This window comes from Homo sapiens, chromosome 11 (genome assembly GCF_000001405.40).
Source record: "Homo sapiens chromosome 11, GRCh38.p14 Primary Assembly".
NCBI classification, from domain to species: Eukaryota; Metazoa; Chordata; class Mammalia; order Primates; family Hominidae; genus Homo; species Homo sapiens.
In genome coordinates, this window is record NC_000011.10 from 33,079,764 (window position 1) to 33,106,578 (window position 26,815).

General features: G+C 38.7%; 1 protein-coding gene across 1 annotated transcript in view; it reads right to left on the bottom strand.

Annotated features, from left to right (window-relative positions):
* Window positions 1-4,820: 4,820 nt before the first annotated feature.
* The window catches only part of CSTF3 (cleavage stimulation factor subunit 3), a 76,897-nt gene continuing 54,902 nt past the window's right edge, over window positions 4,821-26,815 (bottom strand). The window contains exons 6-21 of the mRNA NM_001326.3: window positions 26,235-26,301; window positions 26,120-26,154; window positions 25,804-25,930; window positions 23,344-23,421; window positions 22,414-22,576; window positions 19,845-19,954; window positions 19,271-19,387; window positions 18,927-19,001; window positions 17,072-17,215; window positions 16,543-16,645; window positions 12,508-12,577; window positions 10,769-10,964; window positions 7,225-7,378; window positions 6,132-6,226; window positions 5,950-6,010; window positions 4,821-5,526 (exon numbers count right to left, since the gene is read on the bottom strand). Coding sequence (NP_001317.1) covers window positions 5,324-5,526; window positions 5,950-6,010; window positions 6,132-6,226; window positions 7,225-7,378; window positions 10,769-10,964; window positions 12,508-12,577; window positions 16,543-16,645; window positions 17,072-17,215; window positions 18,927-19,001; window positions 19,271-19,387; window positions 19,845-19,954; window positions 22,414-22,576; window positions 23,344-23,421; window positions 25,804-25,930; window positions 26,120-26,154; window positions 26,235-26,301 — 1,798 coding nt within the window. The 3' untranslated portion in view covers window positions 4,821-5,323. The remainder of the gene's footprint in view (window positions 5,527-5,949; window positions 6,011-6,131; window positions 6,227-7,224; window positions 7,379-10,768; window positions 10,965-12,507; window positions 12,578-16,542; window positions 16,646-17,071; window positions 17,216-18,926; window positions 19,002-19,270; window positions 19,388-19,844; window positions 19,955-22,413; window positions 22,577-23,343; window positions 23,422-25,803; window positions 25,931-26,119; window positions 26,155-26,234; window positions 26,302-26,815) is intronic.

Genomic DNA, 26,815 nt, shown 5'->3' on the forward strand with positions numbered 1-26,815 from the left:
TGGTTCGATGGAGTGTCACTTTTCTTGACTTAAAAGTAACCTTAAAACAAGAGGGGCTGGGCAAGGTGGCTCACGCCTGTAATCTCAGAACTTTGGGAGGCCGAGGCAGGCAGATCATTTGAGGCCAGGAACTCTAGACCGGCCTGGGCAACATGGCAAAACCTTGTCTCTACTAAAAGTACAAAAATTAGCCAGGCGTGGTGGCATAGGCCTGTGCTCCCATCTCAGCAGGCTGAAGTGGGAGGATTGCTCGAGCCCGGGAGGCAGAGGTTGCATTCAGCCAAGATCATGCCACTGCATTCCAGCCTGGGTGACAAAGTGAGACCCTATCTCAAGAAAATAAAAAATAAAAAAAAGAAGGGCTTCACATGGTGGCTAATCCCAGCAGTTTGGGAGGCTGACGTGGGAGGACTGCTTGAGCCCAGGAGGTCAAGACCAGGCTGGACAACACAGGTAGATCCTGTTTCTACATAAAATTTAAAAAATTAGCTGGGTATGGTGGATGGTGGTGCATGCCTGTGGTCCCAGCTACTTGGGAGGCTGAGGTGGGAGGATTATGCTGTGATCATGTCTCAAAACAAACAAAAAGACTTATGAAAATTTTTGTTTTCTTTTGTTTTGATTGTTTGTTTTTGAGATGGAGTCTCACTCTGTTGTCCAGGCTGGAGTGCAGTGGCACAATCTCAGCTCCCAAGCTCAAGCAATTCTCCTGCCTCAGCCTCCCCGAGTGGCTGGGATTACAGGTGTGCGCCACCATGCCCGGCTGATTTTTGTATTTTTAGTAGAGATAGGATTTCACCATGCTGCCCAGGCTGGTCTTGAACTCCTGACCTCAGGTGATTTGCTCGCCTTGGCCTCCCAAAGTGCTGGGATTATATATGTGAGCCACCGTGCCTGGCTGAAATTTTTATTAAGTAAAACGTAAGTTCACTTGCTCATTGCCACAGTCAAAGAACTACCATGTTAAAAAAAATAATAATAATAATTTATGACCATGATGACTATGGTTTAATAAAATTGAACTCAACATTTATTAACTATAGGCCAATACAGGGTTATAATATCAAATAAATTCATAATTATTGACCAGGGTCAATATACTAACAGAAATGATGTGTTTTTCCTTCTTTTTCTTTGGTACAGTTTGGTTGTTCAGAAAGTTTACTAGTAGTTTCTATTAACCTTTTACTGTACTAGATGTGGCCACATAGGTGCAACCTCTTGTTTGAAGTTTAGTGGTAAAGGCCAGAGTTTGACTAATTTTTGTTTAGGAAGGACATACATATAGTCCTTGAAACTTTTGTCTAGTTCTAGAATCTTGAGGAGATGCTGTCATTGCTTTTATAAACAGGAAAAAGATGGATATCTTTTGGCAATTTCTTTGGGTCCAGCAATACTGATATGAGTCCTTGGAATTGTAGGACTGATTATCCCATGAGTCTGCACATTAGATTTCCAAAGGTAAGTTCAGATGTCTAACATCATGCTGCTTGTTGAACTGTTTAACAAAAGGAATTATCAAATATCAGGCAGAATCACCTTAAAAACTAAAAATTCATACATATCTCTAGCAGTTAGAACATTCGAAAATGTTTTCTTCTAATGAGAATCCTTTTTATGCTCAAAGAGCTGATCATTTCTAGGAGAAAAAAATCCTATAAATAAATGCAATAGGAACAATTATAATATACATAGTAGCCTTAATAATAATTGATATGGTTTGAATCTGTGTCCCCACCAAATCTCATGTCAAATTGTAATCCCCAGTGTTGGAGGTAGGGCTTGGTGGGAGGTGTTGGTCCAGGGGGGTGAAGTTCCCATGAAAGGGTTAGCACCATCCTCTCGGTGCTGTTCTTGTGACAGTGAGTTCTCATGGAATCTGGTTGTTTAAAAGTGTGTGGCACCTCCCCCCTTTCTTCATCCTGCCCTGGCCGTGTAAAACGTCCCTCTTCCCCTTCACCTTCTGCCGTGATTATACATTTCCTGAAGCTTCTCCAGAAGCAAATGCCACTAATCTATCTATACAGCCTACGGAACCATGAGCCAGTTAAGCTTCTTTTCTTTAAAAATTACCCAGTCACAGGTATTTCTTTATAGCATTGTGGGAATGGACTAATAAAGTGATTAAAGACACTTTTCACCAAGTGTGTGTGTGCGTGTGTGCACGCACGCACGCGCACACACGCTAAAAAATGGTTTTTCACACATGTTCGCATGGCTTTGTTTTATTGTCTGTGGGAACACTTTGGCAGATCACTTACAGGTATTTGAAACTGTTTTGTCTTCTTTTTTTTTTTTTGAGACGGAGTTTCGCTCTTGATGCCCAGGCTGGAGTGCAATGGTGCGATCTCGGCTCACTGCAACATCTCCTTCCCAGGTTCAAGCAATTCTCCTGCCTCAGCCTCCCAAGTAGCTGGGATTGCAGGCATGTGCCACCATACCTGGCTAATTTTGTATTTTTAGTAGAGACAGGGTTTCACCATGTTGGTCAGGCTGGTCTTGAACTCCTGACCTCAGGTGATCCGCCTACCTTGGCCTCCCAAAGTGCTGTGATTATAGGCGTGCGCCACCTCGCCCGGCCTGTTTGTCTTCAAAACACTAACTGTGGAGTCCTAATTAGGGAAAGGGAGTCAGGCTGGTGGGAGCAGGGAAAAGCAGATAAATTATGAGTCTGCCTTTCTTCATGGTCCAGGACATGTAGCCGTACTGCACCCAACTTATCACCAGACACCTGCAAGTTAGCTCACTGCAACACTGGCATTCTCAGTAGTACATAAAACCCTCTTCAGCACATGGCACTATCTTATAAAATCCCCAGCAAGCCTTTGTCTCTTTGCAGACAAGCATCTTCTCTGCCTGTTCCAACCTTGCAGTGCATTTTCATACCTTCTCTAATCTACCTTTCTCTACCTACTATTGTCTTGGTAAATTCTTCTTACCCCCACACCACCAGCCCCAGATAGTCGCTGCTCACCCCCGATACTAACCACCAAAAATGGCACTTCAGGAACAAGTCTACACCTCTATATATTTTTTGAAGCAGGGTCTCACTCTTTCGCCCAGGCTGGAGTACAGTGGTGCAATCATGGCCCACTACAGCCTTGGCCTCCTGGGCTCAGGTGATCCTCCCACCACAGCCTGCAGAGTAGCTGGGACTACAGGCTTGTGCTACCATGCCCAGCTAACTTTTTTTTTTTTTTTTGGTATTTTTAGTAGAGATAGGGTTTCACTATGTTGGCCAGCTGGCCTCGAACTCCTGGCCTCAAGTAATCTTCAGCCTCCCAAAGGGCTGGAATTACAGGCAAGAGCCACCGCGCCCAGCCTACATCTCTGTATTTTAAAGTCTATGCCATATGGTATTACTTGTCTTTTTTTTGGAGAGCGTCTTGCTCTGTCACCCAGGCTGGAGTGCAGTGGCGCTACCTCGGCTCACTGAAACCTCTGCCTCACAGGTTCAAGCAATTCTTCTGCCTTCGCCTCCCAAGTAGCTGGGATTATAGGCTTGGGCTACCACGCCCAGCTAATTTTTTTGGTATTTTTAGTAGAGACGGGGTTTCACTTTGTTGGCCAGGCTGGTCTTGAACCCCTGGCCTCAAATAATCTGCCCGCCTCGGCCTTCCAAAGTGTTGGGATTTACAGGAGTGAGCCACCACACCTGGCCTACTTGTGTCTTAAGTTTTGATGGTAACTGATATTTTTAAAAAACTCACAACTTGAAAGTGATGCTTGAAAGGATAAGAAAGTCTGAATTAGAGGCAGCTGACTTTGTTTTGAGAGGCGATTTTTAGCTTTAATGGGAAAATACTGGAAACTAAACACACTTTTGACCAATTTATATAACCTTGCTACATATAAATTTATATGAGTAAATGATTCAGCATAACCTTTTTTTACAAGTAAGACTTTTATGGGACATTTGAAGCTGATTTTAAATGTCAGATTATTTAATCACATCTGAATTCAAATTCTAAACTAAATTGTTTCTAATATGTAAGATCATTTCTTTATAATCATAATACTTGTCCTCCCCTCCTTTTTGTTTCCCTCCTGCTTTTTAGTTTTTAACTAGTAATGAGAAGAGGAGGTAATGTTGTTACCAAAGAGCAAAGTCTAGTTCTTTGGACTTAATTTGCATGACAAGTTTTTGCTCACTGTAATTAGAATTTAGTTAAATAAATGTCATTTTCCTTAATGTTATCTATGTTTAGCTCATGGAAAAAAAAATGTTCTTGAGCACTGGGCCCCTGTGAAAATATACAAGTTGAGTATCCCTAATCTGAAAATCTGAAATCCAACATGTTCCAAAATCCAAAACCTTTTCGGTGCCAACATGATGCACAAAGAAAATGCTTAGTGGAGTTTTGTGGAATTTGTACTCTTGTATTAGGGATGGTGAACTGGTAAGTATGATGCAAATATTCTGAAATCTGAACAAATCCAAAATCCTGAACACTTCTGGTCCCAAGTATTTTAGATAAGAGATACTCTATGTGAGAACAAGACAGCAGGTGGTTAAAGGAATTTCCACACTTAGGTTGCTTTCAAGAGAGACAAAAGTATTAACAGGATCTTAATCTGCCTCAGATTTACTGGGGAGCAAATGCATTCATATTTGAGGATTTCTAAAATGTTTAATTTGCCTCTTAAAAATGTTTTTAGTTAGCACCAAAAAAGACAGACCAGGAAAGAGTATGTGATTAATACATTCAGTAAATACAAGATGACTTTTCCTTGTCCTGACATTTATTTTTAAATGGTATTGGATAAATAACATAAGTAGTTATTGTAAATAAAATCTGAAAGAAGCAGAGGAAGCATGATGTTTCTGAATCCTTTTATTTTTTAAAGGACTTTTAAAATTTGAAACTACAAAACGGATTTCATACATTCTGCCATAAATAAAAACAAACAATAAGGCAGGACTCTACATAAGCAAACCAAGAACAATTGTTTTCAGAAAATGTGATAAAATGCTTTACAATCATAAGCCATCCAGTTTTTAAAATAAAACTGTTGAAAAACTCACAAATCTTCAAGCGGCACATACAAGACACCCTTGAAGAGGGAACAAAATGTGGTTCTGCCACTTTGTACTGTTCTCACATTTTTGAAAACCTAATTTTGCTTAGAGCATAGGTCTGTTCCGTATTCTAAAATTCACACAGGTTGGTTTGTTTTTTCTCAAGAACCATGTGATAGAGGCACCAATGACAATACAACTTTGTTTCCAAGAACCTTGTAACAAAGCGTTGTCTCTTTTAAACATACCACTTGAGGCAAAAGGAATCCTGGACAGGAGTTTTCTGCAGAGGCGTTTAAAACCCTACCGAATCCGCTTCTGCTGCCGTGCTCTGTAAATGTCATGAACAGGGGGGACAACGGCTCCCTTTTCTTCATCTTCATCTGAATCCTCGTTGGGCCTTTTGACGGCCTTGGTGAGTACTGCATTACTTTCCACGGGGCCGTTGCCTTCTACAGCTAGCTCTGGGGCCCCACCAGTAATGATCCTCACAGCTTCCTCAACAGCTATTAAAACAAAACAACAAAACGTAAAAACATATTCCACTATGAAAGGGTATGTATGTTCAACTGTGGATACTTTATTTCATAGCCTACTATTTTAGCAAAACATGGGATAGTACTACTGATACTAAATAATTAAAGAAAAAGACAAAAGCTGCTGTTAAAACTAATAATTTTCATAAGCCAAGCCTGATAGTGCATGTTCACATGAATAGAAAAGATAAAGTTTTATGACATTTTACTTAGTGGAATTCAATGTGAATAAGCCTTTCTCTGCCAAAGAGGGTTTGGGTAACTCCTGGGTTTCACTGCACTTCAAATTGGCTGGCTGGTTTCGAAAACTTCAGTGGCAGAGAATAATAATCTCTACTGCCTATGAGACAACAACGTGGAATGACACTCTGAAATGGAGCTTCTGTTACTTACTATTTGGTATCTTGCATCTTCGGAAAATTTCCATCAGTTCATCCACTTGTACAAAAGGACCCTATTTTTGACATGAATAAATTTTAATCCCAGTAATCTGACAAGTTAAAGTAGTAGTAACTTTATACACAATTACTATGACCCACAGAGCCAGTATCTACCATGAAAATAAGTGAACAAACCTGGAAACAGATAGGAGGAGGGAGAAGTTTCATTAAAACAACAGCTGCAGGAGGGACTGGGAACACTCCACCAGGTACAGGGTGTAAACCTGGAGCTGTGAGAAAAAGAAAAGTATGAATCAAGTGGAATGGAAGAATTTCTACACAGAGCTAAAATCAAGTGACTTGCACATAAAGATCTTCCATGTCTGCTGCTTTGTTCTGGACACTGAAAATACTTCTAGGGCTTTACCAAACCAAAGTGGGTGAGACAGCAGTCTCAATGCCGTGGCCACTGGGAGGCAGAGAAGTAGACAAGTGACTTTGTGTAAGACAACCAGGGACTGAACTAAAGTCAGTTTTTGTCAAAGAGTGTTTCTGAGTTACACAAGTCATTTGTTTAGCAATCCTGTTTCAAGTCAATTATTCAACAGTGTATTTAATCAGAAGGGCCTTGTTCAAAAAGAATCTAGAGAGGCTACTAACCCATTCCTAAGTAAAGAAACCAAATCTATCAGTGAAGAAAGTTTCCACCAGCTGTTCAGGTAATCTGCACATAGCAGCATTCCTTTTTTTTTTTTGATACAGAGTGTCGCTCTTGTTGCCCAGGCTGGAGTGCAATGGCACCATCTTGGCTCACTGCAACCTCCGCCTCCCGGGTTCAAGTGATTCTCCTGCCTCAGCCTCCCAAGTAGCTGGGATTACATGTATATGCCACCAGGCCCAGAAAATTTTTGTATTTTTAATAAAGACAAAGTTTCACCATGTTAGTCAGGCTGGTCTCAAACTCCTGACCTCAGGTGATCCACCTGCCTTGGCCTCCCAAAGTGCCAGGATTATAAGTGTAAACCACTGCACCTGGCCATAGCAGCATTTCTGAAAACCAAGTATTACTGCCAAAATGGGTTCCTGGAATCTGGATCATTGAAGTTTTGTTTTTAGGACATTCTTAGTTAATCTAGTTCAAAGATTAAAGCTAAATCACTTGTCATAGTGATCCTAAGTCTAATAATTAACCCACAATTGAGAGGCCATGTCACTTTACCCCCACGCTTTGGATTTAAATCAACAAACAAACCAACGTCTCAGTACTGGATCTAAAGTCATGGCTTACGTGCTAAATGTCGTGGCTGAAATGGAATCATCTGCTGAGTGTCTGGTTTAGGGTATTCTGGTTTTCTATCCACTTCATCTTTCAGAACAGGCACTATAGAAGGAGCTACAACTGGGTCCGGAATTATAGCTGCTAGCTTAGCACGGGAGACATCCTGAAAATGCAGAACAGAAGAATCCTAAACCTGAAAAAGGGACTACTAGAGAATAATCATGCAATAACCTTGAGGATACAGTGTGAATATCTGGGTCAAAACCACAGAAAGAAAATGGAGACGGATAAGCAAGGACTCTAATGATGGTAAAGATTGTTACTCAACAAGGAAAGCTATTTGGTTCTAAGACTCAGTGTATCATAACTTTACCCCACACAAGTTACAAGTCATTAAACTTAGTGTTGCCAGGCAGGACATTTGTAGGACAGATACAAGCTTTTTTGGGTAGTCAGACTGGGAACCAAGTAGAGGCCAGGATAATTTGGAGGAAAATTCAAGATTTTAGATCTTCTGACACCTCCCTTCCATTAGAATTGAACACCAGTTTCATTAAATGAAGAAGCTGGATTAAGTGACTTCCTGTTTTGTGAAGGCATCACACCGGTTAAGATTTTGCTAATGCAATGAAAAATTATTTCCAATGTACTATTTATTACAGGGGACAAGGAATATTTACTGAGCAGACACTATTCATCAGGCAATTTTAGCCATTCTGTTTTTAATGAGGGAAATAGTAACATCTCCATTATATAGAAGGGACTGAAGCTCACAAAGGTTTTGATATTTCCCAGGTCACACAGCTAATAAGAAGTAGAGAGAGGAGGATTGGGAGGGCAGGCCTCTCTGACCTCAAATCCATCCACAGTCTTCTTTTCAGTACACTAGCATTGCCCTGCCAGGGCTGAGACAAGATATGCCAAAGGAAGCAATACAGTCACCTATGAACAGAGGCCCTATCTCAGAGGAGCTCCTCTGCTCCAGACAACCCAGTGTTACTCTGTCTGTCTAGAAACAAAAGAACCCCTTTTTGCCGCCATCAAGGGATATAAAAGCATTCCACTTTCTCAAAATTTGTTGAAATGGAGTTGGTGACATCTGGTATTAATTATATAAGCAAATCTAAATGGTAGACACATTGGGTATCGCTTTTTAAAAATCTTTCTCACAGATACATACATACCATACCACCCACCGTTAAACACAGAAGCACATTAATCCTTCCCCAAAAAACAAAAGAGTAGAAATAGAAATACAAGATGGAAAACATCATATTCAGGAAGTAGTTCTACTCCTGAATACTTACTCTCTTTTTTTTTTTTTTTGAGACAGAGTCTCACTCTGTCACCCAGGCTGGAGTACAGTGGTGCTATCTTGGCTCACTACAACCTCCTGGGTTCAAGCAATTCTCCTGCCTCAGCCTCCTGAGTAGCTGGGATTACAGATGCCCGCCACCAAGCCCGGCCAATTTTTGTATTTTAGTAGAGACGGGGTTTCACCATGTTGGCCAGGCTGGTCTCAAACTCCTGACCTCAGGTGATCCACCCACCTTGGCCTCCCAAAGTGCTGGGATTACAGGTGTGAGCCACCACACCTGGCCACTATAAGATCTTTCTTTTCTGTTTATTTTTATTTTTTATTTTATTTTTTTAAGACAGGGTCTCACTCTGTCACCCAGTCAGGAGTGCAGTGGCTTGATCACGGCTCACTAAAGTAGGCTCAGCTTCCCTCCTGGGCTCACCTTGGCCTCCCGAATAGCTGGGACCACAGGCAGGCGCCACCACACCTGGCTAATTTTTGTATTTTTCTCTCTTTTTTTGGTAGAGATGGGATTTCATCATGTTTCCCAGGCTGGTCTTGAACTCCTGGGCTCAAGTGATCGCCTGCCTCAGCCTCCCAAAGTGTTGGGATTATAGGCGTGAGCCACTGTGCCTGGCAGATCTTTATTTTAATTAACTGCCTTAATTTTCATTTTCATCTTGGAAAAGTTGAAATAGCTTTTTCTAGCAATTGCACAAAGTACAGTAAGTCCCTCACTTAACATTGTATAGGTTCTAGGAAACTGCAACTTTTAGAGAAATGATGGGCTAGGCGTGTTGGCTGCTGCCTGTAATCCCAGCACTTTGGGAGGCCAAGGCAAGTGGATTCCTTGAGCCTAGGAGTTTGAGGCCAGCCTGGGCAACATGGTGAAACCCCATCTCCACAAAAAAATACACAAATTAGCCAGATGTGGTGGCATTTGCCTGTAATCCCAACTACTTGGGAGGCTGAACAGGAGATCACCTGAGCCCAGGGAGATCAAGGCTGCAGTGAGCCATGATCTCACCATTGCACTCCAGCCTGGGCAACAGAGTGAGACCATCTCAAAAAAAAAAAAAAAGACAGAAACGATGTATAGGAAAACCAATTTTTTTCTTATCAAGGTTATAACAAAACCATGTTAAACACAAAAAAGTTATTTGAGGACCCGCTGTGTATCATTTAGCTTAAAGTCAAAGTTTCTAAGAACCTATCAATGATGTTAAATGAGGATTTACTGTAGTCTTAAACTATCTTTGACTTTTCATTGAGAAGTAGTTAAAACTAGAAGCAGAAACTACTTATCCCTGAGCAGTAATCCTATGGTTCATACCAGGAATCTGCATCTGGCACAGAAATAGGGCTTCCATTAACAAAAATGTCTGAATATCAATTATGGGTAGTTTTTTCTCAAAATATTTTATCTGGATCAGACAGAGCAAGACCCAGGCTAAAAGAGGGCAGTGAGGAAAAGGAGAATGATGGTCAGGAACATCCTAATGGTGGTTGGCTTAAAGAGATCAACCAAGGACTTCTCTGTGAATTTCCATCTTAGTCTTTGTTCACATGTCACAGAAAGATTAAGAGATGATATAACAGTGGTTTTATCAGCAAGGGCTGTTACTGGGGCTTTGTAAATATTAATCTCTCCCTGTGGCCTGAACAGGTTCAGGTGCCAGATTTGTTTTCTTATGACTCAGTAGTCTGTATAGAAGAGTTCTATTCATAGATGAGCTAATTCCCCCAAAGGCCACTGAAGGAGCACTGTTTTAAGAATACAAATCCCTCAAGGAACTTTATGGATTTAACAAGCTGTAATATTTCTTCATTATATCTTACAAAATATGCAACAGGAACTACATTTGGTTTAAGATCTGTCAAAACATATTTATCAATTTGATAAGAACTATTAGGAAAAAAAAGTAATACCTAAGATGACATTCAGATTTTCTTTTGTTTTTCTTCCCTCCACACTCCCTCCATCTTGCCCACCAGATATAAGATATAAGGCACTGACAATTTCAGGGACAGAATGAAACTATTAAATCCCATTTCAATTCTCATTTTGTTCAGCTACTTTGACACTCAGGATTTCCTAAACCCAAGGAAAATCTTTGAACTTTTTTCTTGCTTCCTGCAAATCTATTCTAAAACTAGATTCACATTTCAGAATTTAGAGTGCAGGTTATCAATGAACTCTTCTAAAACACTGGAAAAGTGAGGACACTCCACATCTTGATCCTAAGTACATACCTTATAACCAAGTGCTTTTAATTCACTTGCAGAGCAAGGATATAAATCCATGAACTTGTATCTATCTACTAGTAAAGCCGTTTCTTTCCCTTCATACTCTTCTTTGAATGCTGTAAACCGTCTTTTCTCCACTTTGAGTATACTAGCTAGATCACCAATATTACTTTCAAATGCTAGAAATCGGGCCCAGATTTCTCTGCAAGAAAAGAAATACAATCAATACTTTAATTATTCTGGGTTTAGGGCAGGGAGTTCATTTACAAAAACGCCTTAAGCTCTCTCTTTTTCCCTTAACTTATAAAAAGTGACTTTTTATTATAAAGATTTTTAGACTATAGAAAAATAGAATAGTATAATGAATACCTATATACCACTACCTATATTGCTAATATTTTGCCATATTTGCTTCATCTTATTTTTGCTTAAGTATTTCAAAGTAAATTATAAACCTATCACTTCAGTATTTAAGCCCATTTTTGAGTTTTTACTTATTTAGTATAGCTGCTGCTTCTTTGTGGTCAACATGAGACTTACCTTAGAGAGGATAAACTCTAGGTGGAGAAGTTGGAAAAGGAACCTAGACAGATTTCTAATTTCTCCTGAATAATGTGGCTTCATTTTAAGTGGCAGGAATTATAATGTAGAATACATTCTTCATCTAATATATGAATAGAAATATACTCCAAAATCTAATATGATTACGCTATTGTTTCCCATTAACGTGGATCACTGGGGAAAAACTGGTGCCTCATCGTTGTTCTAACAGCTAAAATTAATGCTCTGAGACTACTTAAATGTCATTATGCACCTTTGTACTAAAGTAATATATTAAGTGCCTCTTATATACCAGATATGTGGCTATCACAAAAAATCCTACACTGGTGGACATTATTGTTAATAAGAAAGTGAAGATTGGTATAGCTATGAAATTTGCCATCTAGCTGGATATTGAACCCAAGACTCCAAAGCCTTACTATAATATTTCCGCTGTACCACTTGACAGTGTTGTTCCTCTGTATGGTAAAACTAACACGAGACAAAACCGTAAGTCAGAGACATAATATGTAAAACAAACTTTGAATTTACAAGAGTCTTTGCTTTTGAGTAAGGGAGGTGAAAATTTCAGAATGCCTCTCTTAACATGTTAATATCAATTTCTAGGGAGAGAGAGAGAGGTATCTTTTTTGTTGTTGTTGAGACAGAGTCTCACTCTGTCACCCAGGCTGGAGTGCAGAGGTGTGATCACAGCTCACTGGAGCCTCAACCTCCTGGGCTCAAGCAGTCCTCCAGCTCCCACCTCCGCCTCCCAGTATCTGGGACTACAGGCATGCACCACCACACCCAGCTAATTTTTAACATTTTTTGTATAGATTGGGTCTCACTATGTTGCCCAGGCTGGTCTCAAACTCCTGGGCTAAAGTCATCTTTCCACCTTGGCCTCCCAAAATGCTGGGATTACAGACATGAGCCACAATTTCTGGTTAGGGATATATAGTATACAAGAAAGATGATAATAAATTGCTATGGCATCTCTTAAAAACAATTCTAATCACTGTGCAGAAATTTAAAAATAATTTTAAACAGGTATAAAAGTACTGCTGATAGGTAAAATAAAACTTGAGAAGGAAAGGAAATTTCTCTTGAAACTCATACTCAAGCAAACATTCACCCCATAGACCACAATTCAGGTAAGAAAGCTGTCTTTAGAACCTGATCAACAACTTTTCACAATGGCTTACCCAGACTTCTCAGGAGGAAGGCTTCCAGATGTTAAAACTCGTTCAAACAAAACTCGGGTATTATTGTCCTCTAGGATATTGAAAAAGATTTTAATTTTTTTAATTCACTTTTACGATGCAACAATATTTTCATATGCATTATCTCACTTCATCCTTACAAAAATCCTATGCAGAAAGGTTTAACTATTATCACACTTGATTTTTATAGATGAGGAAACTTGAGCTTCAGAAAGATTAAGAGATTTGATCTGGCTCTTGGTGATTGAGTAGCAGAGCAGTAACTGCAAGCCATGTTTTTTTCCCTTCTAGTTCAGCCCTCCTCTACTATACTGCAGTTCTAATGCAAAACCATTTATAACAGTGCCGTCTGAACCAGGTATCCCATTTGCCTTTTAAAAATAATGACAAGTACATATCTGCTGACATTAGTCAGACTACTGCTATTTTTTAAATACATTGAACATGGAAGGATGGCAAACTCAAACTTAGAAATAATTGAGTTTCTTATTTTGAGGCACCAGGACTATGCTATATTTAGCTACTTTAACTCTTGCAGAGGTACAATATCTAGGTTGGCAGGTAACTATGGAAATGTAAATGAATTAAGAATTGTTGACAGAGGTGTATTAAATTTTAAGAGTCTCAGGAGGTCCTCTATATCTGGAAGTGGGAAAATGACACTTCTTGCTAAACTCTAAGTTATCTTTTAAAACTTAAGAATCTAACAGTAACAACAACCATTGAATCTACTACTAACAACCACTGAACTGTACACCTAATGGATGGACTTATAGTATACAAATTATACTTCAATAAAGCTGTTCAAAAGAAAAATTAACCCAGCAGAGGAGTTGTTTTTTATTGCCTGAGAGTAGTTATTCAGTTTATTACATGTCCATAAGCAAAATAAAACCAAGAAATTAAATATATTAGACCAAAGAAGATGGCGCTATTTTTTTGGCTTCTCTCTTCAATTTAACATATTATACTTTAAAAAATGTTAAACAAATCTTACATTTTATCTTTTTCTGTTTTATCCCAAGCTTTGCTCCAGACACACTTTTTACCATTCCACAGAACTTTCACACTGCCTGCCTATGTGTTGTGCTCTCTGCCTGGAATAATGCATTTATCTTTCTTTACCTGGCTAACTACCACTCATCTCTCAAAATCCAACTCATGTGCCCTTCTCTATGACACCCTCTAGAACACTACTGTCCATCAGCAATATAATACAAGCCACATATGGAATTTAATAAAATGGGTAAAAACAGGTGAAATTAATATATTTAATCAACCTAATATATCCAAATCTTATTTCCACATGTAATCAATATGAAAAATTGTTAAGATAGTTTACATTTTTTTTTGTACTAAGTCTTTGAAATCTGGTATGTATTTACACACTTACACCACAACTCATTTTGGCCTAGTCACATTTCTTTTTTCTTTTTTGAGATGGAGTCACACTCTGTCACCCAGGCTGGAGTGCAGTGGCGCAATATCAGCTCACTGCAACGTCTGTCTCCCAGGTTCAAGCGATTCTTCCGCCTCAGCCTCCTGAGTAGCTGGGACTACAGGTGCACGCCACCATGCCCGGCTAGTTTTTATATTTTTAGTAGAGACGGGGTTTCACCATATTGGCCAGGCTGGTCTGGAACCCCTCACCTCGTGATCTGCCTGCCTCGGCCTCCCAAAGTGCTGGGATTACAGGTGTGAGCCACCACACCCAGCCCAGGCTATCCACATTTCAAGTGCTCAATACCTAATAGTCTAGTGACTACCATAATTGTGCAGCATAGCTCTATAACTTAAATTATACTCTCTTCTCTGTGCTTCCATAGTACTTCCTTCAGGAATCTATTACAGTATTTAGCACATTTTTAATGATCACCACCCTCATCATAACATTTATGGAATAATCACAACATTCTATATATAAGTGAAACACATGCAAAAACTCATTTACCCTCTCAACAGTCCTATGAAAGGTATTCTTATTATGACCATTATGCAGATGAGAAAACTGAAGTTTAAGATTATACACCTAACCTCAGAACTATGCTACAGTGAAACATCAAATGATGATGCAATTATATTTACACATTGGATTCCCCCACAAAAACGTTTTTCTGGATCCTATTCATCTTTGTATTCCCAGACTCTAGTAACCAGAAGGTAATGAATAAATGTTTCATGGATGGATAGATGGATAGATGAATGAAAGAATCATCTAAGACACTGATTTTGGAAGACAATAGTGCTAACACCAGATATCCTCCTTTTAAAAAAATAAAAATACATATACTAGTAACTATTTTAAAAAAAAATTAGGCAAAACAATTTAAGATTTATGAGGAATATTAAATGCCCCACTATCTCATTTTTTGGAGTTAAGTCTTTTTCCCAGAATGTAGAATCATTAAGCTGAAATACAAAATCATATTTAAGTTTTACTCTTTTATATTATTTAGGTAAATGGAATGCTCTATTTTTCTGAAATATTAAAATTACTGATTTATACCTATGATATCTAATTCTATAATCATTTACATGACATATAATTGCATATTTCTTTCTTAAGCCAACTTTTAGTGATGTATTTATTTATATTTATTTATTTACTTTATTATTATTATTTTTTTGAGGCAGAGTTTCGCTCTTGTTGCCCAGGCTGGAGTACAATGGCGCAATCTCGGCTCACCGCAGCCTCCCCCTCCAGGGTTCAAGCGATTCTCCTGCCTCAGCCTCCCCAGTAGCTGGGATTACAGGCGCCTGCCACCACGCCCAGCTAATTTTTTATATTTTTAGTAGAGACAGGGTTTCGCCGTGTTGGCCAGGCTAGTCTCAAACTCCTGGCCTTGGGTGATCTGCCTGCCTCGGCTTCCCAAAGTGCTGGGATTACAGGCATAAGCCACCACGCCCGGCCTATTCATTTATTTTTAAATGTTTTTTAGAGACAGGGTCTTGCTCTGTCATCCAGGCTAGATGGAGTACAGTGGCGTGATCACAGCTCACTGTGACCTCCAATTCCTGGGCTCAAGTGATCCAAGTATCTGAGACTACAGGCATACGCCACCACACCTAGCTAAAAAACCAACTTTTATACTACATCTTTTTTTGTTAAGAAATTACATATTGTGCACTGTTGTTAACTAGACTAAATGATATACATATATGAATTATCTAGCACAGTGCCTGGTAGGAACTCAATAAAGGATGGCCAGTGTTATTCGTACAACAGAATAGGGAAATAAATACTAAAAACCGGCCGGGCGCGGTGGCTCACGCCTGTAATCCCAGCACTTTGGGAGGCCGAGGCGGGCGGATCACGAGGTCAGGAGATCGAGACCATCCTGGCTAACACGGTGAAACCCTGTCTCTACTAAAAATACAAAAAATTAGCCGGGCGAGGTGGCGGGCGCCTGTAGTCCCAGCTACTCCGGAGGCTGAGGCAGGAGAATGGCGTGAACCCCAGGGGGCGGAGCCTGCAGTGAGCCGAGATTGCGCCACTGCACTCCAGCCTGGGCGACAGCGAGACTCTGTCTCAAATAAATAAATAAATAAATAAATAAATAAATAAATACTAAAAACCAAAATGTTTCTTTTTGAATCTTTTCCCCAGTATCCTCAAAGTGTTTTACTTTACTATTTGGGCATCTTTTGAGTTTGAGTTTTGGTGGCTAGAGGGTTTTTTGTTTGTTTGTTTTCCTTCCAGGAAACAGGAGATGATCTGCCCAGAGTCATCAGAGATGAATATAAACAACTCTGTGTCTCCTGACTCTGACTCTGAAGCTTTATCCCACTACTGATGGTACTTTACTGAATAAAGACAGTTCTGCAGAGTCAAAAAACATCTACCATTGCTCAGTAAATATATTCATGGTTGATATACCACAAGTATTTCTTGAGTGCCTAACAAGTGCCTGTCTGCTATGTCAAAATTATAATACATTCAAGAAGGAAGAAATCTAGCAACATAATTCCACATGGTTTAATATTAAGTAATCATTATAGATTCTAGAATCAACCTACCATTGAGGTGAGAAAGATAGTCAATATAGGCCAGGACATACTCTGGAATGTCTCCATATTTTTTTAGCCCCAGCTCAAAAATCTTAAAGGCAACAGATTTGTCCTACAAGTAAAGAAAGTAAAGTACAGATTTCCATGAAATGTCAGATAAAAAACACTTGAAAGAATATTAAAATTATACCTACATATGACAAAATATGTAAGAATTAAAACAAATTAAAATCATGTTAAGTAAAAATTGCTGAGCTAGAAACTATTCAAAGGAGTTTAGTGATTAGAAATCACGAAATAGTGATTAATATAGTGATTAATAAAGCACAAATTAGAAATATAGTGATTAATGAAGCATAAATTAGCAAGTAGTTGGGGATTTGGATGATGCTCCATAAAATTTTACACAGATACACTTAGACTGCCTTTACAAAATGGAGCAATAAAAGCTTAATGACAGAAGCTAAAATCACCTTTCTTTTACGAACCTCAGATGAAGGAAGTTGTTTTATCTTTACACTTGTATTTCAGTATTTACCTTACTACAGTAATATTCCATGAGTGCTGCAGTAACATAGACATGGTGGCGGGTTCTGGTATCTTCTCTTGCTTTTTTAAATATCATTCTTCCAGATTTGATGCCTTCTGCTCTCCGTGCAAATTTCATATATTGGATATATACCTATGCAAAAGAAAGTATTTGTGTTCTATAAATTAGACAGTATGTTTCCTGCATAAGAAAGCAATCCTCAATACCCAATAAATTAGAAAGTAGGAATTTAGATAATATTCTATTTAAATCCACAAACTAATTTTTTTCTGGTATTAGAGATGCATGCAAATTAATTTATTTTTTTATTGAGACATAATTCACATAGCACAAAATTCACCCTTTACAATTCAGTGGTTTTAAATATATTCACAAGGTTGTGCAATCATCACCATTATCTAATTCTAGAATATGTAAATTAAAGTTTAAGAGTGAAAAGTGTGACACTACTAGAACATACTCCATTAATGAATGTCAATATCTAAAAAACTCAAGGGTTGGTTTAATACAAGCACGTCTTACAATACATGTTTTTTTTTTTGAGACGGAGTCTCGCTCTGTTGCCCAGGCTGGAGTGCAGTGGTGCGATCTTGGCTCACTGCAACCTCTGTCTCCTGGGGTCAAGCCATTCTCCTGCCTCAGGCTCCCAAGTAGCTGGGACTACAGGCACACGCCACCACACCCGGCTAATTTTTGTTTTTTAGTAGAGATGGGGTTTCACCATTTTAGCCAGGCTGGTCTCAATCTCCTGACCTCGTGATCTGCCTGCCTCGACCTCCCAAAGTGCTGGGATTACAGGTGTGAGCTACCGCGCCCAGCCTGCAATACATGTTTAACTTCACATTTTCTTGGTTTCTTTTTAAAAGCCCACTACTCTATTTTCCGAACAACATATAATAGAACTTCATGGATAAACTATGAGCCATTTTATACCTAGCACCTACAGAGTGTCCAGTACATCATGAGTATGCAGTTTTGTTTAGTGAACAAATGACTAATTAGTAGGGTCCTGGTTTGCCCAGTATTGATAATGTCTAGCTATATTACCCAGTTTTGATGGATGGATGGATGGACTATGAGTTCCTCAAGAAAAGGAATTTCATCTAGTTTGTCATTAATGTTGCTGGAGTCTAGCACAATGCATAGACTCTAGCAATATATTTGCCAGATATGTTTGTGGAATGAATTATAAGATGATGAATAAATGTAGGAATTATAGCAGTGGAATCCCAATATAAATCATTAACAAGAAAAAGTAGTGTAGCTATAATTGACTTGAGGCAGAGGTTCTAGAGACACACCCACAAGCCTGTCCCCTTCCTCTCCCAATGGGAGAGCATCACTGCACTTTTGCACTTGGGGCTTTGAAAACCACTATGATAGAGCAGGATTTAGCATAAAGTGAGTTTCAGTCTAATTTCTTCCCAGGATGTCGGTTTCTCCCGCCTCATTTAAAAAGAAATATCTATTAAGCAACAATTCTGTGGCATAAAGTGACTTCAAACCATGATCACAAAGAAAGTGTTAGAGAAAGTGCCTCTGTATCTATTTTATACTGCTGCATTAAAAAGAAAAAATTCTAGCAGAAAACAGATCAGTAATTGTCAGAGGTAAGGGCAGAGGGAAGGGTTATATCTACAAAGGGGTCACATGGGGGAATTTTTGGAGGATGGTGGAGGTGTTTTCTATCTTAATTGTGGTGGGGATCCCATACTCAATGTTATTTGTCAAGATTAATAGAACTATACAACAAAAACAGTGAATTTTATTGTATATAAATTTAAATTATTTTTTGTTAGATAAGACTGTAAAGGTGGAAAAAAAGATTTGTAAAGTTACTCACCAAGGTAGGGTCAATATCCTCAATTGCCAGAAGTCTGTTATATATACTGTGAACCTTTTCATACTTCATGCGACTCTAAGGTGGTACAGAAGAAGTGAGTATCAACATATGGTCATAAATAAGCAGGATTTGAGCTCCAAGGAATCCAAAGGCTATAACCTCCCACCCCCAATGGCATCTCCATTGAGCATAAATATAGTATAAGCTGACAACTAATAACTGTTCATTTGGCATCATCTCTGTCTACCAAAAGCAATATGCCTGGCAAACAAGCAGCCAGAAAAAAAGTTCAGTCCTGCACTAAAAAATTGAATTATAAGAAGGCTCTAAACATTTTTACTTACCTCTTCATAATCTGCATATGCAAAATAAAGAAGCATATTCTTCTTCAATAAAGTGCTTATGGCTCTTTCATATATATTAGCAGCTTCATCACTAAATAATTTGGCATTATTCATATCCTGGTAGAAAAAAAAGAAAGCTCATCTTCAATAATTTTAATATAGTTGTGAGAGAATAAAATTAATAAAGTTACATCTACTTTATTTTATTTATGTGTCTAAGAAAGCATACATGTATGTACACACATATATATGTATCCACACACACACATACATAAACACATATGCATTTCTGGATTCTAAAAAAATTCCAAAAACTCCTTTCATTATTTTAACTTACAAAATAACCATGCAAGTACTCTAAATGATTCATTACTTTGATACGTTAAAAAACTGCCAGTTTATTTTAATTCTAAGGAGGTCTAATTATATGAGTGTCACTAAGATTCATATGAACGTAAACTTAAATTTTCAATACTTATGCTTTATTACCAAAATTCAGTTATATTTTTCAGTAAATAATTGCTATATCAAAACCACAAAAATATCAAAGTGGGGATAGGGAAGGAACACTTACTCCCTTTTCTGCGAGCAGTTTACTTGACTGCTCAAGATACTGGGCAGCTTCATACCAAATATCAGGGTGATGGCCCAGCACAAGCAGGCACTGTTCATAAGCAAACATAACTAAGGGAAGAAATTAACAAACAATATTCAATTAAAATAATTATTATTTGTAAAACTATCAATGTAAATATCATAACCAAATTAGGCTCCTCAAAAATTAATGATAATTAGAAATAAAAAGCTTTAGTGATTTCTGGCACCATCATCCATCCAAGTTCCCTCCATCTATCCATCACTTATTAATTTTTTTTATTTTTGGAAGCAGGGTCTCTGTCACGTAGGCTGGAGTGCAGTGGCACAAATATGGTTCACTGCAGCCTCGACCTCCTGGGCTCAAGTGGTTTTCCTGCCTCAGCCTCCCAAGTAGCTGAGACCAGGCGTGTGCCACCACATCTGGCTTATTTTTAAAAATCTTGTGGCCAGGTGCGGTGGCTCACATCTGTAATCCCAGCACTCTGGGAGGCCAAGGCAGGCGGATCATAAGGTCAGGAGATCGAGACCATCCTGGCTAACATGGTGAAACCCTGTCTCTACTGAAATACAAAAAATTAGCCAGGCATGGTGGTGGGTGCCTGTAGCCCCAGCTACTCTGGAGGCTGAGGCAGGAGAATGGCATGAACCCGGGAGGCACAGCTTGCAGTGAGTGGAGATCACGCCACTGCACTCCAGCCTGGGCAACAGAGCAAGACTCCATCTCAAAAAAAAAAAAAAAAATCTTGTTTAGAGACGGGGTTTCACCATGTTGCCAAGGCTTGTCTTGAACCCCTGGGCTCAAGCAATCCTCCTGCCTCAGCCTCCCAAAGTGCTGGGATTACAGATGTGAGCCACTGCACCCAGCCTAAGTTAATACTTATTGAGCACCAACTATATGCCAGGGAATGTGGAAGGCACGGTGAATATACCAGTGAGTAAGACTTCCTATATTCAAGAAGTCTGCAGTATACGGGGAGGACAGACAGAAAGCAAAGATCAAAAGGATTATGATGATGAAAGTACAGTATACTCTGAAAACTTACAGCAGCAGGACTTAACATAGTTTAGGGACTCAAGAAAGGCTTCACTAAGGAACTGACATCTAGCACAACACCTGAAGAAGGGATGAAGCTGGTCAGAGGCAAATAAGTGAAGTGGAGTAAGGATGGGGTAGATACAAAAATGGAGTGGGCAAAGGAAACAATATTTGCAAAGACCTGCAAGTAAGATAGCAAGGCAACAGCAAGGCAAGATTGAGGAATTCAATAAAGCTCCAAATTAAGAGTCTGGCACTGACAGAGTAGTTTGTATCAGACCAACCCTCAGCAAGTAAAAATTATAAATAAACAAAACACAAATACAAAAGCAACTATCTAAATGTACTGGAAATGACCAAAAGAAGCAGAAATCAGGAGACTGAGCCCTTAAAAAGACAGAACAACACTAGGTGAGATCCATATTTAAATATGGCTTTTCCCTTCAAACGCATGCCCATGTTGTGCACTTCTGGGATAGCTAGAACTCAAGTCAAATGCTGCAGTCTTACTGTCTTGAAGTAACATGGAGTTCTGGCCTATGAGAGCAGCTGGAAATTGAGGAGACATCCCCAAAAGGAGAAAGCCAGATCCCGAAAATCTGGGCATAAATGTTCTCAAATCCTCAGCTGATCCCTAAAATGTACATACACAGGGAAGAATACAAACAGACCAGCAGAAAACAAAGCTGGAAGGCAGAAAGAGTTAAATAGATACCTCAGCAACTAAGGGAGATGAAGTTTAGAATTTGAGTCCGATCCAATTAGATGGTTGGGGTAAACACCTTAGACTTTTCATTGTCTTAGGAGTAAAGACTATGTCCCAAGAATAAGGTATTTAATCTGAGATTAATGGTAAAACTAAAACAGACCTGTCTTCATAGTATAAAACTAAGCCTCCACAAAGTCCAAGTAATCTGACAGTAGTATTTAACTTCCTGCTAAAATAAAACATTCTTCAGAGGAAGATGACAGAATCTACAGTCTTTACAATGTTTCATTTGTACATTTGTACAATATCTAAAAGAAAAAATTTAAACAGGAAATAGGGAAATGTAAACCACAGTCAAGAGAAAAAGCAATCAAAGAAAATAAACTCCATGGTGGTTGAAGGCCCAGATGTTGGAATTGGCAGATGAGGACTTTATAACTACTATTATAAATATGTTCTAAGAAACAAAGAAAAAGATGGTAATGAACACACAAGGAATCTCAACTAAGAAATGGACACCATAAAAAAGAAATATAAAAAATAAAAAATTTCTAAAATGGAAATTTATAGAATTGAAAAATATAGTATCTGAAATAAAGCGTTCACTGGATGGGCTTAATTGCAGACTGCATATGATGAAAACAAAGGTTCAGTGAATATGGAGATAGATCTATAGGAATTATTGAATCTGAAGAACAAAAGAAAAAAAGATTAGGGGTAAGAAAATTTTAGTAACCTATGGGGATACCAAGTGGCCTAACATACATGTAACTGAAGTCCCATGAGGGTTAATCATGTTACCTCTTTTTGTTATAAGGGTCTGATCCTCTGTACGAAGAGGGTTGCTCTTTTCCCACTGTATATATTTCTTCCACATATCTACTTGTTGAGCTTCTTGAGGAGTATTCTGAGGAGGCACCGAGGGAGCATTACGGTCCAAGCCTTTCATTACTGTCTCATATTCCTAGACAACAAGGATTTAGAATTCTTTGGTGAGCCAGGAACAACTGAGATATATGGCGGATGGGGTAGATCAGTTTGGAAGACTGTTCAAGATGCCTACTTTTTCCAAATACCACTTTGTTAATATAATCTAAAAACTATTTAAGAGTAGAGAGAAAGATAAGAGTATTACCCACTCAAGAACAGGTTCCCAGGAGTGGGTAAACAAAACACCCATGGGCCCTCTCTGTAAGTGATCTAGGAGGTTACTTTCCAGGATGTAAGAGTTGACAGATCAATAGGATTGAAGATCTGGTGGCATTATTATTGCCATCTTTGGAGAAACTGTCTTTTAAAATTTCAATAGTTTGTATTAATAGGCTATTTTTCCTAACTTCCAAGAGTGTCAATGAATGGAAAGGTATGCACACAATCAAAATGTGTCCCTGAGAGCTATGTTATTAGACCACAGAGTAATACAATATTCAGATGAACCCAAATAATAGAGGGAAAAGAATTACTTCATCAATTCTAAGTAGAGCCTTGTCTCTCTCTATGTCTTCTGTTTCCATATTTTAAAAAACAATTTCTTCTAAACCCAATTTATTATATTTTGTTCTTACAAAGAGAGATTTCATTTCAAATATGTCATCTCCTCAGACTTTGCAATTAATTGCTGTTAAGATTGCTAATGACTGAAAATATCAAGAGTAATACCAGACAGGGAAAGCTCTGCTGTAAACAACAGACTCATAATAATCATTAAAATAGCCTGATGGAATTCCATACCTTTGCTACACGTCTAGCATTCATATAATCTCTACTCCGATCTTCAATCATTTTTTTAGCTAAATGAATATTGATACCCTAGAAAAAAACAAAAATATTTTAAAATTAAGTATAGTTTCTTAAAAATTAGTACAATACAGTTAATTTATTCATTTACTAAATAACTTTAAATTTTTATTTTAAAAGATTTCTTGTTTAATAAAGGTTCATACAGCTCATGAAAAGCAGGGAAAAAAGGTTCAATCACATTATACATTTCCAAGATCAAGGAGGATGTGCTTATGTCTTATGAGCTGGCAGTAAGTTTCCATTTATCAGGAACTTTTAAAGATAGAATCATTTGAAAAGGCTCAATAATTTCATATAAGATTCTACTGAAAAAAAAATGACATGGCTCATGCCTGTAATCTTAGCACTTTGGGAGGCCGAGTTGGGTGGATCACTTGAGGTCAGGAGTTCATGACCAGCCTGGCCAACATGGTGAAACCCCGTTTCTACTAAAAATACAAAAAAATTAGCTGGGTGTGGTGGTGTGCGCCTGTAATCCCAGCTACTTGGGAGCTTGAGGCAGGAGAATTGCTTGAAATGGCGAGGCAGAGGTTGCAGTGAGCTGAGATCATGCTATTGCACTCCAGCCTGGGCGACAGAGCGAGACTCTGTCTCAAAGAAAAAAAAAATATGTACAGATTCATCTGGGTGAATAGCCATGGCTTGACTTTGATAGCCCTTTTCTTTTTCTTTTTTATAAACAGAGTCTTCCTCTGTCACCCAGGCTACAGTGCAGTGGTGCCATCCTAACTCACTGGAACCTTGAACTCCTGGGCTCAAGTAATCCTCTTGCCTCAGACATAGGACTACAGGTGTGCCCTGCCAGATCTGGCTAATTAAAAAAATTTTTTTTGTTGAGACATAGTCTTGCTATGTTGCCTGGGCTGGCCTCAAACTCCTGGCCTCAGGCAATCCTCCCACTTCAGCCTCCCAAAGTGCTGGGATTACAGGCATTAGCCATCACACCTGGCTAATAGCCCTTTTCTAACTAGTTCTGTTGTATAACACTTTTTAAAAAGACAAACAGAAGTAGCAAGGAAAGATAAACATTACCACTCAGTGAGTACTCCAAGGATTCTAAGACCCTTTCAGGGAGTCCATGAGATCAAAATAGTTGTCATTATAACACTAAGACATTATTTGCCTCTCTCATAAAATACAGGAGTTTTACAGAGGCTACGTGACATTTAGTATTATAACACACTAAATGGAAGCAGATATGAAAATCCAGCTGTTTTCTATTACACTAGATATGAAAGAGATTTGTGAAAATATAAAACAATGCCACTCTTCTCACTACACACTACATTTTTTGTTTTGGAAAATACAGTTTTTGGCCAGGCATGGTGGCTCGTGCCTGTAATCCCAACATTTTGGGAGGCCGAGGCGGGCTAATTGCTTGAGCTCAGGAGTTCAAGGCCAGCCTGAGCAACATGGAGAAACCCCATCTCTACAAAAAATTAGCTTGAGAGTGGTGGGGCATGCCTGTAGTCTTAGCTACCTGGGAGGCTGAGGTGGGAGAATCACCTGAGCCCAGGAAGTTGAGACTGCAATGAGCTGTGATTGTGCCACTGCATTCCAGCCTCGGTGACAGAGTAAGACCCTGTCTCAAAAAAATAAAAACAAAAAATTCTTTGTGATCTTCAATAACTGTTAAAATCCAAAAACCATAAAGTTTGAAAACCACAGCTGATGCCTGTGAGGGAACAATTTCACTACCCTATATAGTTCTTCCAAATCACAATATACATACGAAAAACTTTCTTTTTTTCTCTTTAGAGACGGGCTCTCACCATCTTGCCCAGGCTGGTCTCAAACTACTGGGCTCAGGCAATCCTTCCATCTCGGCCTCCCAAAGTGCTGGGATTACAAGTGTAAGCCACCATGCCCAGCCAAGGAACTTCCTTTTAATGCTAGAGCTTATTTGGCATGTGTATTTATGTATTCAGATTGATTAGCTCAGTTATTAAAAGTAGATACCAATAACACAAAGATCTTGGATTGTAGCCACACACTTCACAAATTCAAACCAATCATCACATCACTGTAATCAGGTGAAAAAGGTGCACAGCAACCAAAAAATAATTCCCAAAAGGTACTATTGGAAACATAATTCCCAAAAGGTACTGTTTTATAGGTCAATGACAATGTGTATGTGTGTGTATGAATGTGTGGATATGGCTTAGCAAAGAATAAAAATAGTTTTATAAGAACTATTGTTCTTCAGAGTATCCTCTAAAAAATAACACTATATGGAGACTCTCAAACCTTGCAAAAACATTATAGTGCTTTCATTACAATCAATAAAAAAAGTGTAACACTGATACAGAAAGGCTATAATCTACAAATCCACAATGCATAGAAATTAAAATGGCTTGGTTTATAATAAACAACTACTCTGACCTAATTTACCTCTTCATACTTGTTATAGTCTCTCCAGAGCTGTTCAATGTTGATCATCGGATTAACACAACCTCGTTGATAAACTCTTCGGACAGCTGTTATTCTTTGATTTTCTGCATAAGATCCTACAGCTTCCCTGAGATTGGATAAGAAATGCCATCAATTATATTATAACCAAATCTCATTCAACCCAGCAATCTCACTACTGGATATCTACCCAAAGAACAACTCTATGGAAAATAGTATGGAGATTTCTCAAAGAACTAAAAATTATATTTTAGCTAAATCAACTGTAGATGTAAAAAAAAACTATACAAATACTTACACGCCTTTTAGGAAATTGATGTAATCCACCCAAATCTAAGAAATAAAATGAAATGTTAATATCTTTCTTGGTATTCTTACATTTAAGTGCATACATTAAAAAGTTTTAACTCTACCTGATAGGACATAATTTCCATTCCAATTTTATCCAGTGCAAAGTCATATGCTTGAGCCATTTTTTCTCTGAAATGAACATGAAAGACGTGGTTTTTAAATTTTTTTGTTATTAAAATTTATCTACAATTAGGCCAGACATGGTGGCTCATGCCTGTAATCCCACTGCTTTGGGAGGCCGAGGCAGAAGGATCACTTGAGACCAGGAATTCAAGACCTGCCTGTGCAACATAGCAAAACCCAGTCTCTAAAAAAATAAAAATTAAAAAAATTAGCTGGGCATGGTGGCGTGCACCTGTAATCCTAGCTACTCGGAAGGCTGAGGTGGGAGGAGTGCTTAAGCCCAGGATTTCAAGGTTACAGTGAGTTATGAATGCACCATTACACTTCAGCCTGGGTGACAGAGCAAGACCCTGTCTCTAAAAAAAATTAAAAATAAATTATTATTTGAAGATAGACGTGGTGGTTCATTCCTGGAATCCCAATGCTTTGGGAGGCTGAGGCAGGAGGATCATCTGAGGCCAGGAGTCGGAGACAAGCCTGGGCAGCACAGTGAGACCTCGTCTCTATAAATAAATAAATA